General features: G+C 37.3%; 1 protein-coding gene and 1 pseudogene across 15 annotated transcripts in view, besides 1 other annotated feature; one reads left to right on the forward strand and one right to left on the reverse strand.

Moving 5' to 3' along the window:
* GALK2 (galactokinase 2) overlaps positions 1-17,857 on the forward strand; it is a 211,967-nt gene that overhangs the window by 18,451 nt on the left and 175,659 nt on the right. The window lies entirely within an intron of this gene.
* On the reverse strand, positions 3,077-4,568 carry RPL15P19 (RPL15 pseudogene 19; annotated as a pseudogene).
* Positions 16,537-16,596: a silencer, noted in NCBI's record as "silent region_6422". NCBI's record gives its function as "represses an Ori minimal core promoter by ATAC-STARR-seq in GM12878 lymphoblastoid cells {active_cell/tissue: GM12878}" and the evidence as "EXISTENCE:reporter gene assay evidence [ECO:0000049][PMID:35858748]".

A 17,857-nucleotide genomic window follows, 5' to 3' on the forward strand; every position in this document is an offset into this window, starting at 1 on the left:
AAAGCTCATTTATGAAAATGGAAGCAGAGCCAAAGGTAATAAACATTTAAAATGTTGATAGCTCCTGTCAAATGGCCCTGCAAAAAAGATGTTATTGGATTGCCTATTTCTTGCTTTTTTGTTTGTTTGTTTTGTTTTTAAGAGACAGTCTCACTCTGTTGCCCAGGCTGGAGTGCAGTGTCATGAACTCGGCTCACCACAACCACCACTTGCCGGGTTCAAGCAGTTTTCCTGCCTCAGCCTCCCAAGTAGCTGGGACTACAGGTGCTCACCACCACGCCAGGCTAATTTTTGTATTTTTAGTAGAGACAGGGTTTCACTATGTTGGCCGGGCTGGTTTCGAACTCCTGACCTCGTGATCTGCCTGCCTTGGTCTCCCAAAGTGCTGGGATTACAGGCATGAGCCACAGCACTTGGCCTATTTCTTGTTATTTTTAGAAACTCTTTTTATATGTGTGTATTTTTGTATTTGTATGTATTTTTAATAGAAACCATTTATTCTATATATATTATAAATATAGTTTCTAGTTTAACTTTATGACATCTTATGTAGACATTTTATAATTTATGCATTGTAGTATGTTGAATAATAATGATGATAGCATCTTTGTCTTCACCCTTATTTTAATATGTCATCCAAATGACCACCAGAATGGTGAGATAGTAGAAAGAAGAGCTTTATTGGCACTATCAGTTTGTAGACCAGAAGAGAGAGTCTGCAGTGTGGACTGAAGGTGTTCTAACTTCGAGTAGGGAAGAGGAAGTTTGGGTTTTAGGCCCCACAGAGTCTGTCTTATACAATAGAGTCATACATATTCAGTAGGTTTTGGGGAAAAGCTATACATATTTATGAGGGGAGCCAAGCACATGCGCAGTGGGTAAACATATATGTAACATACATCCCATGTTCCCTTCGTGGCAGGTTTTAGCATTAAAATGAGGTGGAATTTGGCTCACATAACAAGGTGAGCTATAGGACACAAAGACAGTTAGTGCACAGCCTTTATAGGCTGGCTGAAACTAGCTTAAGGTCTGCAGTTGTTTATCAGAAAAGAATGTTTGTAAGGCTGGTCCTCTGTCCAATCAGAGTTGTAGTGGCCTGGATCATAAGTCAGAGTTAGGAGGTGTCCAATAGCTGCTATTGCTAGGGGGTTTAGCAAGAGAGTGGTTTTACTTGTAGCCATGAGAATTTAGGAAGTTGTTACACCTCGACCTGTAACTTTTGTTACCTTAACTTTAGAGTCCCCCTTACCTGATAAAGGGACATCTACTTAAGTTTCTCAGATCACAAATGGGAATGCTTCTAATATTTTGCCATCAAATATGATGTTTGCTGTTTCTGGTAAACATCCTTTATTAAATTAAGGACATGCCCTTTTCTAGTAGGTGAGAAAAGAAAAATAGCTCTGAGCCATCTGAGGTATGTTAAGGGAGGCGACCACCTCTCATATTGTCTTATGCCCAATTTCTGCCTCCAAAAAAAGAAGTAAAAACTAAAAGGCAGAAATGAAATCCACAAGCAGACAGCCCAGTGCCACACCCTGGGCCTGGTAGTTAAAGATCAACCCCTGACCTTATCAGTTACTTGCATAAAAAAGCACTGTGAAGATCCCTGTCCTGTTCTGTTCCCTTCTAATTACCAGTGTATGCATCCCCCAGTCAAGTACCCCCTGCTTGCTCAATCGATCATGACCCTCTCATGTGGACCCCCTTAGAGTTGTGATCCCTTAAAAGGGACAGGAATTGCTCACTCGGGGAGCTCGGCTCTTGAGACAGGAGTCTTGCTGATGCTCCCGGCTGAATAAACCCCTTCCTTCTTTAACTTGGTGTCTGAGGGGTTTTGTCTGTGGCTTGTCCTGCTACAATGTGAGATATGCAAAGATTTATCAGGCCCAGAGAGACATGAATATGGCACTTTAGTCACATCCCTCGCCCTCCTTGCACCCATGTGCCAGGGGGCAATCATTTAAAGACCTTTTGTTCCTGACTTCCCCTGTTCCTGCTTCCCCTGTTATCTTGATGTTCCTGTAATCTGTGATACAAAGTACAGCCAATCAATAGGTTATGCTATTTTAATGTAAATTCTTGGTAAACAAGTTAGGAACCACCCCATTTTTTTCCTTTAAAAACCACTAGTAACTACTGCTAATCAGAGGGTATATTCATGTTAACTTGAATCTATGTTCCTGGGTTGCAATCTTCAAACTTGGCCCAAATAAACTCTGTATTAAGTTTGCCTCACTTTTTTTGTCTTTAGATCAACGCATGACAGAGATTTAAAAAATTTTATATTTTATTTTTAAAAATAAGGAATGGCTATGAAAATACATTTGTTTCTTATTTGGATTTTTTGAGAGGATCATGAAGTCATAGAATTTTCTTCTTTTTATTCTGTTAGCATAGTTCATTTAATCAACAGATTTCTGGTGCTGATTACCTTCATATTCCTGGAATGAACTCTGCTTGGTCACATAGGTTATTTTAGGTAATTACTGCATTAAATTTACCGACATTTTATTTAGGGTTTTTCTATCTATTTCCACAAGTGAGATTAGCCTATAGTTTGCTTTTGAGGGCCATTCTTGTCAAATGTAAGCATCTGGGTTAGACCAGCCTCCTAAAATGAGATGGGAAACTTTCCACAGCTTCTATTATTTAGAACCATTTATAAAAAGAAAATACCACTTTTTCCTTGAAGGTCCAACCAACTTGTTGTAACACTTTTTGGGCTTTGTTTCTGACAACTTTTCTATTTCTTTATTTTTAAACTCTTGTGTCAATTTTAGAAATTTGTATTTTTTCTAGAAAAATCAGCCATTTAAAAATTTTTAAATCTTTTTAAAATTTATGTTTGTCTATTATTTCTAGTATTGATTATGTTTAATGACACTCAAAGTTCTTTTTCTATATATTTTTTTAAATTGAAGAACCACCTTGTAATTTTTTTATCCAATCTGCTATTTTCCCCTGGTTCAATAAATTTTGCTTTTATCTGTTAATTTGCTTCTTCTAATTTATTTAACTACTTTTTGCTAGGTTCCTATGTTATATGCATACTTTATTTATTTTCATTATTTATTTTCTTTTTTTCTTTTAAATAATTTATGTTAAACCTATTGTATCACACAGTATGTTTTAAACACTGCCAGATAACTCCCTAATCAGATAAAGCAAAGACAAAAAAGTTTATCTTACTAGAAACAAGAGACATCATCACTTATAGTTTTCAAACATTATTGCACTTTAACTGTCATAATTTGACAAAGAATTCATGAAATAATCTACAGACTAGTTTTAACAGACAAATAATACTTGTAAGCAGACATGACTGTCCTAAATTGTTTTTTAGGTATCAACTTTACAAACATTACTTACATTAGTGGTAACGGTGGAGTTGGAGAGTATTGTGCCTTTTCCAAGATGCACAGTGAGAATCACCAGGAGTGTGGTGGAACTTATGACCCTACCAAGGCCACGGATCTTTCGGCCTGCAGATGTCAGCCCATGCATCACCCTTTGCTTGTGGACTGGTTTGGTGATCCACTGGGTGGCAGGATTTTTTCTGACAGCATTATGGAGTGGATGAATGAGGATAACTTCAAACATTTTGTATGTTGAATCTTCACCGAAGTGAGAACTCAGGACTCTTAGCCGGGCATGGTGGCTCACACCTGTAATCCCAGCACTTTGGGAGGCCAAGTTGGGTGGATCACTTGAGGCCAGGAGTTCGAGACCAGCCTGGCCAACATGGTGAAACCGCGTTTCTACTAAACAAAAATTACAAAATTACAAAAATTAGCTGGGTGTGGTGGCGCACACCTATAATCCCAGCTACTTGGGAGGCTGAGGCATGAGAATTAGTTGAACCCAGGAGGCAGAGGTTGCAGTGAGTGAGATTGTGCCACTGCACTCCAGCCTGGGTGACAGAGCAAGACTCTGTTTCAAAAAAAAAAAAAAAAAAAAAGAAATACTATATATATATATATATATATATATATATATAGAAATAAAATGTATAAATATGTCTATATGTATAAATAAAAATATATGTACATGTATATCATATATACATGTACATATATGTATGCACATATATGTATGTACATATATACATGATGTACATGTATATCATGTATACATGTATATATATGTACATATATATATATATGTGAATTCAGGACTCTTAGAACCCCACAGTGGCGTCCAGCTTTCTCGTCTTCAATGGACTTCAAGCATACTTTAGCTGGTTAACACCACAGTGGACAGGCTTGCCATAAGCTGCACCCTTAGGAACTGGGCATTTTCGGCCACCATGGTGCACACGAATCCTATATATAACGTAAACTTGCTTGGCCTTGTAGCCCTGTCGGTGCACTTTTTTGGGCTGGGTGGGATGTGGAGCCCTGTGGTAGAGCAGAGAGCTGTCAGTACTGCTAGCAGGGACTCTCCGAAGAAAGTGCATGGTATCAGACTGCTGCTTCCTCCACAGCTCCTGAATGTACTTGTATGCAGTTATCTTGGCTTACCTGATGGCTGTTGCCAGACGGAAAGGAAAGAGCCTTTCTCCCCCATTATTTATTTTCTTATATGAATAGAAGGCTAGAAAATTTTCTGAGTGCTATTACGGTTGTGCCTCATGGGTTTTGATATGTAGACCTCTCATTATTATTTTCAAAATAGCTATAGCTGTGGCCTTAATTTCCACTTTCCTTCAGCTTCTTGCTCATTAATTTGCTCTTTAACTCTTTTCATTCTTCTATTCAACCTATCTACTATTTTTATTTTCACCATCATAACCTCGTTTTCTAAGATCTCTAATATAATTTTAATTTTGTTTTTATGTTTAATTTTTGATCTTGGAGAAATTTATTGTGATGAAAGGAACAAAACAGAGATTCAAATTCACCCTCCTTTCCCAATGGTAATTACCAATCTTTGAAATTCCATCTCTAACATATATTAAATTCTCAAATATAACAGTAATAATAGTAATAACTAATAATTATTTTATACTTATAAAACCCTCAAACAAACCTTTGCAGTGAGTTCTAGTATTAGCCTCAGTTTGTAGATGAGGAAAATTGAGGCATGGAGCAACTCATACAAATTAACATAAAAATTCATGTTATAACCAATTGTTCTTAAATTAGTATTAAAAATTAACATTTTCTATAATGCCATGACTCGATATCCTGATATTGAAGAGAAAACAAGCACAGACAGGATGGGGGACTTGCCCAAGGTCACAGTGGAAGACTGAAAATACATGTCATAGCTCCTGAAATTTTAATTCATTCATTTCTGCAGTTAGCCACACGGTCTGAGAGAATCAGTCCTTTTATTAAAGTCCATTTCATTCACAACAGTCATAGCTTTGTTTCTCAAGTTCTGTTACTAATACTGCTGTTCTTTTTTCTTTGTTTCTTTCTTTTTTTTTTTTTTTTTTAAGATTTTAAGTCAAAAGAGCATTCAGAGCACCAGAGTCAGCAATTTGTGCTGCAATACTTTGGCCAATTCCCCATTTAACAGTATGATCTTTGTAGGAGCTCTTATTTTCATATTGAAATGCTCATTGTATTTTTTGGGGGGCATACTTTCAGTGACTGCATTAAGACACAAGGTCTTGTTGGTAGCTCACCTAGAGGTAAAATACAGCTACTTCCCCCAATTACAGCCCTACCATTCATTATTAGAGGGTTAGGTATGAAGTTTAGAAAAACACTGTACACTTCAGTTCTTTCTGTTCTTAGAGAAAAATGCCTTCCTTGTTTCCTTTTATAGCCTCCATGCATTTGAATTTCTAAGGTAGGAATGTTGTATAGTAAGCCTCTTGGTACTGAAGCAGTTATAAGCCATGAACAGACTGCCTTCCCAAGGAAGTCTAGGAAAATGACAAAGTTTTATAATTCAAAATAATTTCATTAAGACACATTTTAGGAGACTTATTCTAACTCTGCTGTTAGCACTTCATGTTATTTGTGTTTGCAGTCCTTATAAAAACAAATTAATAAGGATTCAAGTTCAGGAAAACTTGAATTTCATCTGTATATGATTTTCACAGGCAGAAACATTAACCCCTATTAAGGCTAGCAGGATTATCTAAACCAGCAAAGTGGGAGTTGTACTTATTGCTCTTTTTCCCACATTTAATTGTACCAATTCCTTTGGATTTGACATTTCAAATATCACCTTAATTTCACCCTTCTCTACCTATAGCTTTGAAGTACTTTCAGCATTTCTCTCTAGATATATTACAATGAACTGCTATTAGATCTCTTTATTTCTACAATCCGAATTCCACACACTACCCAGTGAGCTTTTTCAAATGCAAAATTGATGATTTACTTCATTTTTAAACATCTGTTCACATCCATTGCCTGTATGTTAAAAGCCAGGTTTCTCAATATGGCATAAGGCCCTTTAAGATCTGAGACTTGATATCCTCCAACCTCCTCCCCTCCTTTTCTCTTCTGATGTTTTTAGATACCTAATTGTAGTTTTCTGAATGCTGTATGCTTGGGCCTTTTCATGTCAATTGCCTAGAATGCTTCACCGTACCCCACCTGTCTGACATCATCCTTTAAAATTTATTTCAAACATTACCTCTTTGGGGATCCTTTAATGTACCTTCCCTCTTTTTGATTTATCTTACGGCTCATATCATATTCTGTCATAGCAGGGACTAAATGATGTTTCTCTGTGCTCCCAAAGGACTGTATTTGGCCGACTTATCACTCTGTATTGTCCCCCTGTATTGTGAATTTTGGCTTACCTATTTTCCTCTTTTGCTAGACCAATCCTTCCTTCCTTCCTTCCTTCCTTCCTTCCCTCCCTCCCTCCCTTTCCTTCCTTTTCTTTCCTTCCTCTTCCCTCCCCCCTCCCCTCATCTCCTCTTCTTTCTTTTGAGACAGGGTCTCACTCTGTTGCCCAGAATGAAGTGCAGTGGCACAATTATGGCTCACTGCAGCTTTGACTTTCTGGTGATTCTCCCACTTCAGCCTCCTGAGTAGCTAGGACTACAGGCATGCATGTGCCATGGTGCCCAGCTAATTTTTTGTATTTTTTGTAGAGATGGGGTTTTGCCTTGTTGCCCAGGCTGGTCTGGAATTCCTGAGCTTAAGTGATCTGCCTTGGCCTCCCAAAGTGCTGGGATTACATACATGAGCCACTGCACCTGGCCAACTTTTAAATTTCTTAAGGCCAAGGATTCTTATTCATCTCCTTTCAAAGAGTACTTAGTAAAGCATCAGTAAATGTTTCTTTTTTAAAAAAAAGACTTTTTTTTTTTTTTTTTTTTGGAACAGAGTCTCACTCTGTTGCCCAGGCTGGAGTGCAGTGGTGCCGTGGCACGATCTCGGCTCACTGCAGCCTCCACCTCCTGGGTTCAAGCGATTCTTGTGCCTCAGCCTCCCGAGTAGCTGGGATTACAGGAGCCCGCCACCATGCCTGGCTAATTTTTGTATTTAAAAAAAATAGTTTTTTATTTTGAAATATTTTTAGACTTATAGAAAAATCAAATAATAATTGAAAAAAGTACTGTATATTCCTCTCCCAAATTCCCCAAACTTAACATTTTACCACATTTGCTTTATCATTCTCTATCTCTGTTTTAATTTTTTTTAATTTTTATTTTTTATGGGTACATAATATAGATGTATATATTTATGGGGTACATGAGATATTTTGATACAGGCATACAATGTATAATAATCCCATCAGGGTAAATAGGGTATGCATCACCTCAAGCATTTATCATTTCTTTGTGTTATAAACTTTCCAATGATAATCTTTTAGTTATTATAAAATGTAAAATAAATTTTTGTTGACTATAATAACTGTTATGCTGTCAAATAGTAGATCTTATTCATTCTATCTAACTTCATTTTTGTACCTATTAACCATCCCCACTCCCTCATCTCTGCTACCCTTCGCAACCTCTGGTAACCATCATTCTACTCTCTTTCTCCATGAGTTCAATTGTTTTAATTTTTAGCTCCTGCAGATGAGTGAGAACGTATGAAGTTTGTATTTCTGTGCATGACTTGTTTCACTTAACATAATGTCCCCCAGATCCATCCATGTTGCTGCAAATGACAGGATCTCATTCTTTTTTACGGCTGAGTAGTACTCCATTGTGTGTATATGCCACATTTCTTTATTCATTTATCTGTTGCTGGACACTTAGGTTGCCTCCAAATCTTGGCTATTGTAAATGGTACTGCAATAAACATGGAGTGCAGGTGTCTTTTCAATACACCGATTTCCTTTTGGATATATGCCTAGCAGTGGGATTCCTGGATCATAAGGTAGTTCTATTTTTAATTTTTTGAAGAACCTCTCAACTGTTCTCGGTAGTGGTTGTACTAATTTACATTTCCACCAACAGTGTATGAGGGTTCTCTTTTCTCCACATCCTTACCAGCATTTGCTATTATCTTTTTTTTGGATAAAAGCCATTGTAGCTTGGGTGAGATGTTATCTTATTGCAGTTTTAATTTGCATTTCTCTGACTATCAGTGATGTTAATCACTTTTTCATATACCTGTTTGCCATTTTTATGTCTTTTGAAAAATGTTTATTCAGATCTTTTGCCCATTTTTGAATTGAATTATTACATTTTTTCCTATTACATTGTTTAAGCTCATTACATTTTCTGGTTTTTAATCCCAGTCAGATAGTTTGCAAATATTTTTTCTCATTCTGTAGGTTGTCTCTTCACTGCATTGATTTTTTTCCTTTGCTGTGCAGAAGCTTTTTAACTTGATGTGATCTGATTTGTCCATTTTTGCTTTGGTAGCCTTTACTTTTAGGACATTAGACAAAAAAAATCTTTGCTCAAACCAATGTCCTGGATGTTTCCCCAATGTTTTTTGTTTATCTTTTCAAAATACTAACTTTTCCTTTTGTTTATCTTCTGTATTTTTTGCTTTAATTTCATTTATTTCTGCTCTCATCTTTATTATTTCTTTTCTTATACTAATTTCGGGTTTGGCTTTCTCTTGTCTTTCCATGTTTAGATGCATCATTAGGTCATTTATTTGGTGTTTTTCTACTTTTTTGACATGGGCATTTATTTCTATAAACTTTTCTCTTAGCATTCCATCACTGTAACCCAAAGGTTTTGCTGTGTTGTGTTTCCATTTTTATTTGTCTCAAGAAATTTTTAAATTTTCTTCTTAACTTATTCATTGACCTACTGGTCATTCAGGAACATATTGTTTAATTGTGTTTGTATAGTTTCTAAAGTTCCTCTTATTGATTTCTAGTTTTATTCCATTGTTTTCAGAAAAGATACATGATATGATTTCATTTTTTTGAATTTTTAAAGACTAGTTTTGGCTGGGCGTGGTGGCTCACGCCTGTAATCCCAGCACTTTGGGAGGCCAAGGCGGGCGGATCACTTGAGGTCGGGAGTTTGAGACCAGCCTGACCAACGTGGAGAAACCCTGACTTTACTAAAAATACAAAATTAGCCAGGCGTGGTGGCACATGCCTGTAATCCCAGCTACTTGGGAGGCTGAGGCAGGAGAATGGCTTGAACCCGGGAGGCAGAGGTTGTGGTGAGCCAAGATCACACCATTGCACTCCAGCCTGGGCAACAAGAATGAAACTTTGTCTCAGAAAAAAAAAAAAAAAAAAGGACTAGTTTTGTGGCCTAACATATGGTCTGTTTTTGAGAATGAACCATGTGCTGAGGAGAGGAATGTGTATTCTGCCACCGTTGGATGAAATGTTCTGTAAATAACTATTATTAGGTCCATTTGTTATAGTGCAGATTACGTCTCATGTTTCTTTGTTGATTTTCTGTCTGGATGATCTGTCCAATGCTGAAAGTGGAGTGTTGAAGTCTCCAGCTATTATTGTTTTGGGGCCTATCTCTCTTTTTAGCTCTGATAATATTTGTTTTATATATTTGGATGCTCCAGTATAAGGTGCATATATATTTACAATTGTTACATTCTCTTGCTGAATTGACCCCTTTTATCATTATATAATGACCTTCTTTTTCTCTTCTTATAGTTTTTTTTTTGGAAATCTATTTTGTGTGATATAAGTATAGCTACACCTGCTCTTTTTTGGTTTCCATTGGCATGGAATATCTTTTTTCATCTGTTTTCTTTTTCAGTCTATGTGTGTCTTTAGAGGTGAAGTTTGTTGCTTGTAGGCAACAGATCATTGGATTTTGTTTTGTTTTTAATCCATTCAGCCATTCTATGTCCTTTGACTGGAGAGCTGAGTCCATTTACGTTCAATGTTATTGTTGATAAGTAAGGACTTTTCTGCCATTTTATTATGGTGTTCTTGTTGTTTTGTAGTCTTCTCTTCCTTCCTTCCTGTCTTGCTGTTTGTGAAGGTGATTTTCTCTGGTTTCTAATTTCTAGCTTTTTATTTTTTGTGTATCTGTTTTGTGTTTTTTATTTGAGGTTACCATGAGGCTTGCAAATAACATCTTATCACCCATTGTTTTAAACTGATATTAACACCAATTACAAAAAGAAACAAACGAGAAAAGAGAAAACTAATAACACTTCAACTTCATCTACCTTCTTTTTTAAGTTTTTGTTGTTTTTATTCATATCTTATTGTCTATGTCTTGAGAAGTTATTGTAGTTATTATTTTAGATGGGTTCATGTTTTAGTCTTTCTACTCAAGATATAAGTAGTATACATGCCACAATTATAGTGTTACAATGTTCTGTGTTTGTGTCCTTCTTATTACCAGTGAATTTTCTATCTTCAGATGATTTCTTTTTTAAAAAAATTAACTTCTACTGTTGATATGTGGGTACATGTGCACCTTTGTTATATGGGAATATTGTGTGATGCTGGGGTTTGGGGCCTGTATCCTGTCATTCAGGTAATAAGCATAGTACCTGATAGTTTTTCAACCCATACCCCACTCCTCCTTTCCTCTCTCTAGTAGTCTGGAGTGTCTTTTGTTTCCATGTTTATGTTCATGTGTGCTCAATGTTTAGCTCTTACTCATAAGTAAGAACATGTGATATTTTGTTTTCTGTTTATGTGTTTATTTGCTTAGGATAATGGCTTTCCACTGCAACCATTTTACTGCAAAGAATATGGTATTACTCTTTTTTATGGCTGTGTAGTATTACAGGGTGTTTATGTGCCACATTTTCTTTATCCAGTCTACCATTGATAGGCACCTGGGTTTGATTCCATGTCTTTCTTATTGTGAATAGCACAGCAATGAACATATGAGTACATTTGTCTTTTTGGTAGAATGATTTATTTTCCTTTGGATGTATACCCAGTAATGGGATTGTTGGGTCAAATGGTAGGTCTGTTTTAAGTTCTTTGAAGAAACTCCAGACACTGGCTAATTTACATTTCCATCAACAGTGTATAAATGTCCCCTTTTTCTCTGCAGCCTCATCAGCATCTGTTAGTTTTTGACACATTTTGGTAACAGCCATTCTGACTAGTGTAAGGTGGGTATCTCATTGTGGTTTTGGTTTTGATTTGCATTTCTTCAGATGATTTCTTATTGCTTATTAACAACCTTTTCTCTCAGTTTGAAGTTTCTTCAGCGTTTCTTGTAGGATATGTCTGCTGTCAGTGATAGCAGTTTTTGTCTGTCTCAGAAAATCTTTGTTTCTTTTTCATGTTTGAAGGATATTTTTGCTGGATATACTATTCTAGGGTAAACATTTTTTTCTTTCAGCACTTTAAGTATGTCTTGCCATTCTCTCCTAGCCTGTAAGGTTTCCACTGAGAAGTGTGCTGACAGTTGTAATGGAGCTCCTTTATATGTTACTGGTTTCTCTTCTCTTCCTGCTTTTAGGATCCTTTCTTTATCCTTGACCTTTGGGAGTTTGATTATTAAATGTCTTGAGGTAGTCTTATTTGTGTTAAATCTGCTTGGTGTTCCATAACCTTCTTGTACTTGAATATTGATATATTTCTCTAGGTTTATAAAGTTCTCTTTTATTATCCCTTTGAATAAACGTCCTATCCCAGTCTCTCTCACTCTCTATGCTTTTTCAGGCCAATAAATCTTAGACTTGCCCTTTACAGGCTATTTTCTGTAACTTGTCGGCATGCTATATTCTTTTTTATTCTTTTTTCTTTTGTGTCCTCTCACTGTGTATTTTCAAATACCCTGTCTTCAAGCTCACTAATTCTTTCTTCTACTTGATCAATTCTGCTATTGAGTGACTCTGATGCATTCTTCAGTATTTCAATTGAGTGTTTCACTCTAGAATTTCTGTTTGATTCTTTTAAATTATTTTAATGTATTTGTTAAATTTATCTGATAAGATTCTGAATTTTTTCTCTGTATTGTCCTGAATTTTTTTCTTTTTTTTTTTTTTTTGAGATGGAGTCTCACTCTGTCGTCAGGCTGGAGTGCAGTGGTGCAATCTCAGCTCACTGCAACCTCCGCCTCCCGGGTTCAAATGATTCTCCTGCCTCAACCTCCGAGTAGCTGGGACTACAGGTGTGCACTACCACACCCAGCTAATTTTTGTATTTTTAGTAGAGACAGGGTTTCACCATGTTGGCCAGGATGGTCTCAATCTCTTGACCTCATGATCCGCCCACCTTGGCCTCCCAAAGTGCTGGGATTACAGGTGTGAGCCACTGCGCCTGGTCTGTTATCCTGAATTTTGTTGAGCTTCCTCAAAACAGTTATTTTGAATTCTCTGTATAAAAGGTCACTTGTCCCTGCCACTCTGGGAATGGCCACTGGTGCCTCATTTAGTTGATTTGGTGATGTCATATTTTCCTTGATGGTCTTGATGCTTGTGGATGTTCACTGATGTCTGGACATTGAAGACTCAAGTATTATGGTAGTCTTTGCAGTCTGGATTTATTTGTATCCTTTTGGGGCAGGCTTTCTAGGTATTTGAAGGGAATTGAGTATTACGATCTAAGTCTTTGGTCACTGCAGCTATATCTTTATTAGGGGGTACCCCACACCCAGTAACACTGTGTCTCTTGCCTTCTTGTAGAGGTACTGCCTTGGTGGTGTTGGGTAAGATCTGGGAGAATTCCCTGGATTACCAGGCAGAGTCTTTAAATCTTTACCATCATTTTCCCCCAAAGAGAATTTCTTTCTCCATACTGATTTTCCTGGAGTTAGGGGATGGGAGACACAAGTAGACTTGTGGCCACTGTCAGTGGGACTGCACTGGGTCAGACCCAAAGTTCACACAGCACTGGGTCTTGCCTGAGGCCTGCAGAAACCATGTCATGGTTACCACTGATGCTCCCTCAAGGCCCAAGCAGGTGGCAAACCCAGCCAGACTTGTGGCTTTCTCTTTAGGGTGATGAGCTCCCCCTAAGCCCAGGATTGGTCCAGAAATGCTGTCTAGGAGTCAGGGCATAGAGTAAGGAACCTTAGGAATCTACTTGGTGCTCTATTCCACTGTGGCTGAGCTGGCACCCAAGCTGCAAGAGAAAGTCTTTCCCACTCTTCCCTCCTCTTTTCTTAAGCAGAAGTATTTCCCTGTAGCCACCTCCCCCAGCCTGTAGTGAGTAATGCCTGGTTATTGCTGATGTTTACTGCCTGGCTCCCACTGTTTACCCAAGGGCTCTTCTGTCAGCTTGTAGTACATGCTCCTGGGCCTGGGATGCTCCCTTCAGGGTAGTGAGCTCCTCTCTGGTCCAGCATGAGTCCAAAAATGCCATCCAGGAGCCAAGTCCTAGAATTGTGGACCCCAGGAGTCCTTGGGTGGTCTGCATCACAGTAACCAGGCTGGTACCCATGCTTCAGGACAAAGTTCCCGTTAATCTTCCTTCTTTCCTCAAGCAGAACGAGTCTCTTTCCATGGCCAACACACTGGGAATGCACAGGGTCACCCAAGGCCTATGACAAGTACTGCCTGGCAACCACTGATGGTTATTCAAGGTCTGACAGCTCTTTAGTCAGCAGGTGATGAATTCTCCCAGGACTAGTTCTTTCTCTTCAAGGCAGTAGATTCCCCTCTGGTCCAGGATGTGTAGAAATGTTGTCAGGGTTTACAGCCTTATAAAGGCTTAGAGTGCCTTTCAGATTTGTTTAGGAACCTGTTGTGCTTTAGCCCATGGTGGTTGGGCTAGCCAGAACTTACTTTCAGGCTGCTGGGATGGGCAATTTCCCTCTAGCTAGGGCTGGTCTAAATGCTGCTTCCATGGGCACTGGCTGATTTCTGCACTGTGTTACTTTCTACTGTTACAAGACAGCACTGAATTCCAAAGCAAAGCCCCATAATCACTGTACTCCTCCATGTGCACAGCTTCTCTCTCCATGCTACATGGCCACCACCATTGCTGGGGGTTAAGAGAGTGGTGGTGTCAATGATTCAAGACTATCTTTCCAACCGTCTTCAGTATCTCTTTCCTTGACATGATTTTAAAACCAGATGTTGTGATTACTCACCTGATTTTGGGTTCTTAAGAAGGTGCTTTCTTCTGTGGATAGATAGTTGTTCAACTTGGTATTTCTGCAGGAGGATGATCCCTAGAGGGTTCTATTTGGTTATCTTGCTCCTATCCCCTTATAATTTTTTTCCTGAACAGTTTGAGATTAAGTTGAGGACCTGATTCCTGGTAGAAGACAAAATCTCAACTAATTTAATTAAATGCTGTAATCAGCTTTTATTATTATTTTCAATTCCTGAATTGGGCAGCATGTAAAAATAGAGAGGTGCTAGGCTAGGCATGGCAGAACAGTTGGTTTTCACAAAATAGCTTGAAGAAGCACAAGGAAACAGCATAATAAAAAGCAGATTATTATGTTAACATCAGGTTACTTAAGGTTCTTTTTCTTGTAAGGGTTAAAACAGAGGGGACTTCCTTACCATGCAGGCTAAAACTGGCCTGTTTAGGAATTTGGCTACCATGTATCCCCTGCTTTTTTATAGATCAGATAAATAATTTAGTTTTGGTTTGGTGATGTGGAACTTTAGCATGAATGACTCCATTTTGGTTTGGCTTACTGGGGCCTAGTGGAGGAACTCAGCCCAAAACAATGGTCTTCCATAAATTTTATTTAACATGCTCTTTTAACCTTAAATACTTGAATGCGTATTTCCTAAACACAAGGACATTCTTTTATATAATCGTAGCATAATGATTAAAATTAGGAAATTAACATTGATAGAACAGTATTCTCTAATTACAGACCTGAAGTGTTACCAGTTATCCTACTAATGTTCTTTATAGCAAAATACAGCATACGTTGGTGGATACATCCCAAGACCCCTCAGTAGATGCCTGAAACCACAGATAGTACCGAATCCTATATATGCTATTTGCTTTTTTCCTATATATAAATACCTATGATAAAGTTTAATTTATAAATTAGGCATAGCAAGAGATTAACAATAATAACTAGAAATAAAATAGAACAATTTTAACAGTATGCCAACATCACTACTCATAGGCTTTGGGGTCATTATTACATAACATTATGGTTACTTGAACACAAGCACTGCAATATAGAGACAATACAGAGTCAAGCTGATAATGAGATGACTACCAAGTGACTAGTGGGTGGGTAGCATATATAGTGTGGATATGCTGGACAAAGGGAAGACTCATGACCTGGGCAGGGCAAAATGGGACAGTGTGAGATTTTATTATGCTACTCAGAATAGTGTGCAATTTAAAACTTAGGAGTTGTTTATTTCTGTATTTTTCCATTTAATATTTTCAGACCATGGTTGACAGCAGATAACCGAAGCCACAGAAAACAAAACCACAAATAAGGGTGGACTGCTATATTTTTTCGTGTTTCAAGATCCAATCTAGGATGTATACTATACTTACTTATTGCCTCTTTAATCTTTTTTATTGTGGAATACTTCCTCAGCCTTTCTATGTGTTTTATGAGCAGCTATTTTATAGAATATTCCTCAGTTTGAGTTTTAGGGAAAATTGTGAAAAACTTCGAAATGGACCAAAAGATTATCAGGTATCTTCAAAGGAAAACTAGAAGTTTTCTAGTATACCCTTTCAAATTATCCGATTTCTATGTGAGTTCTGAGGCTTTCATTGTATTCATGGATTCATGGTATTTTACAACTCTATAGGTCATATAAAACTGATAGCAATGCAAATGATTTTTTTTTTCCATAGAAATCGCAAATTGCGTCTGGTGGAATGCAACTGATTGCCCCCTGGCTGTTAATGTTTTCAATTTTTTTTGTATATATTTCTAAATGCATATTGGCCATTCCTTATTTTACTGTATATGGGTGAGACTTTGGATTCTTTTTTCTGATTGGTTATAACATCTTACCAGTTCTGTCATTAATTACTGAGATAAATAAAATCTTTAACATATGTTCATTTTATATGTCATGATGATATTTGTCAAAAGACAAAAGCACAACAAATTTAGTTTTGTTAAAGCAAATTAAATATGGCCTGAGGAGGCCTCTCTACTTCTATATTTGAGTCCTTGTGGATGAACTGCAACCTAACTTAAAAGGTAGACAAGACTGAAAACCTAACTTAAGAGGATGCTCCTGTAACAGTAGTTGATTCTTGGCCAATCCCAGCAGCCGTACTTCAACCAGTCATACACTCCTGAGTGTTCAAACTGTGTTCGAATAAGGCAAATGTGGAACTGTAAGGAATTCAGTTGTTTCTGTATGTCACTTCTGATTTCTGTGTTACTTCCCTTTTTTTGTCTATAAATTTGTTCTGACCATGAGGCATCCCTGGAGTCTCTCTGAATCTACTGTGATTCTGGGGGCTGTCCAATTCATGAATTGTTCATTGCTCAGTTAAACCCCTTTAAATTTAACTTGACTGAAGTTTTTCTTTTAACAGTTTAAAGACCTTACTTGGTGTTATTTGCAGTTCTAGAATTGGGCAGCACTTCATTCTATAAAATAGAATAAGTGTTCCAATGGGCTAAACGGAGGTTGGTTTTATAGACAAAGGGCTGAAAAAAGCAGAAAAAAGAACAAAAAGTGGATCGGTCATTTTAATGTTAATTTCCTATTAAGGGAGGAATAGGGAAAAAAATAATACAAAAATAACTGGTTGGTCAACATCAGGCTACTTAGGTTACTTTTTGTTGTTAAAGGCAGAGGGAACTTTATTGTTACGCTGACTGAGACTGGTCTGTTTGGGAAATTTGGCTATTGTCTCTCTCTCTCTCTCCTGATTTCTTGGAAAGTCAGATAACAACTTAGTTTTGGTTTGCTGATGTGGAACTTTAGTACCAGTACTACATTTTGGTTTGGTCTGTTGGGTCTAGTGCAACAGCTTAGTCTAAAACAATGGCCTCCTATAATTTTCATTTAACATACTTTAAAGAAATTTCTCCCTTAATGAGTTTGTGTAATATTTCTTCATGGTTAGATTCAGCTTATGTATTTTTAGGAGGAATACAACAAAAGTGATTTTGTTTCTTTAGTACATCATATCAAAAGGCACATGATGTATATGTCCCATCACCAATTCTGTTAACCTAAATCACTTAAGGAGGTGTCTGCTGGTTTTTCCACTGTACAGTTACTGTTTTCTCTTCTGTAACTTATAAGTATCTTTTGGTGAAAAACTTTGAGAATATATTGGTATCCTATTTCTTACCAAATTTTCATTTACTGATTTTAGCATCCATTGTTGATTCTTGCCTGAATCACTTATTACTACAATGATCTCTAAGTGGTGATTTTCTGTGTTTTTTTTTTCCATACTTTTAATTTATTAATTGGCATTCTACTGTAAGGAAATGCTTTTCCTTTTCTTCCTTTTATATCACTATGGACTCGGGTTTTTATTTTATTCTATGGATTCTAATGTTTCCATTATTTTTGTATTTATTTTGATGCTCAATTGTTTCAGGGTCAGATTTGGGCAATGGGAACCTCTTCAGGTGGGTTTCTGTGTCATTGCGACA

Source organism: Homo sapiens, chromosome 15, assembly GCF_000001405.40.
Source record: "Homo sapiens chromosome 15, GRCh38.p14 Primary Assembly".
In the NCBI taxonomy this organism is placed as follows: domain Eukaryota; kingdom Metazoa; phylum Chordata; class Mammalia; order Primates; family Hominidae; genus Homo; species Homo sapiens.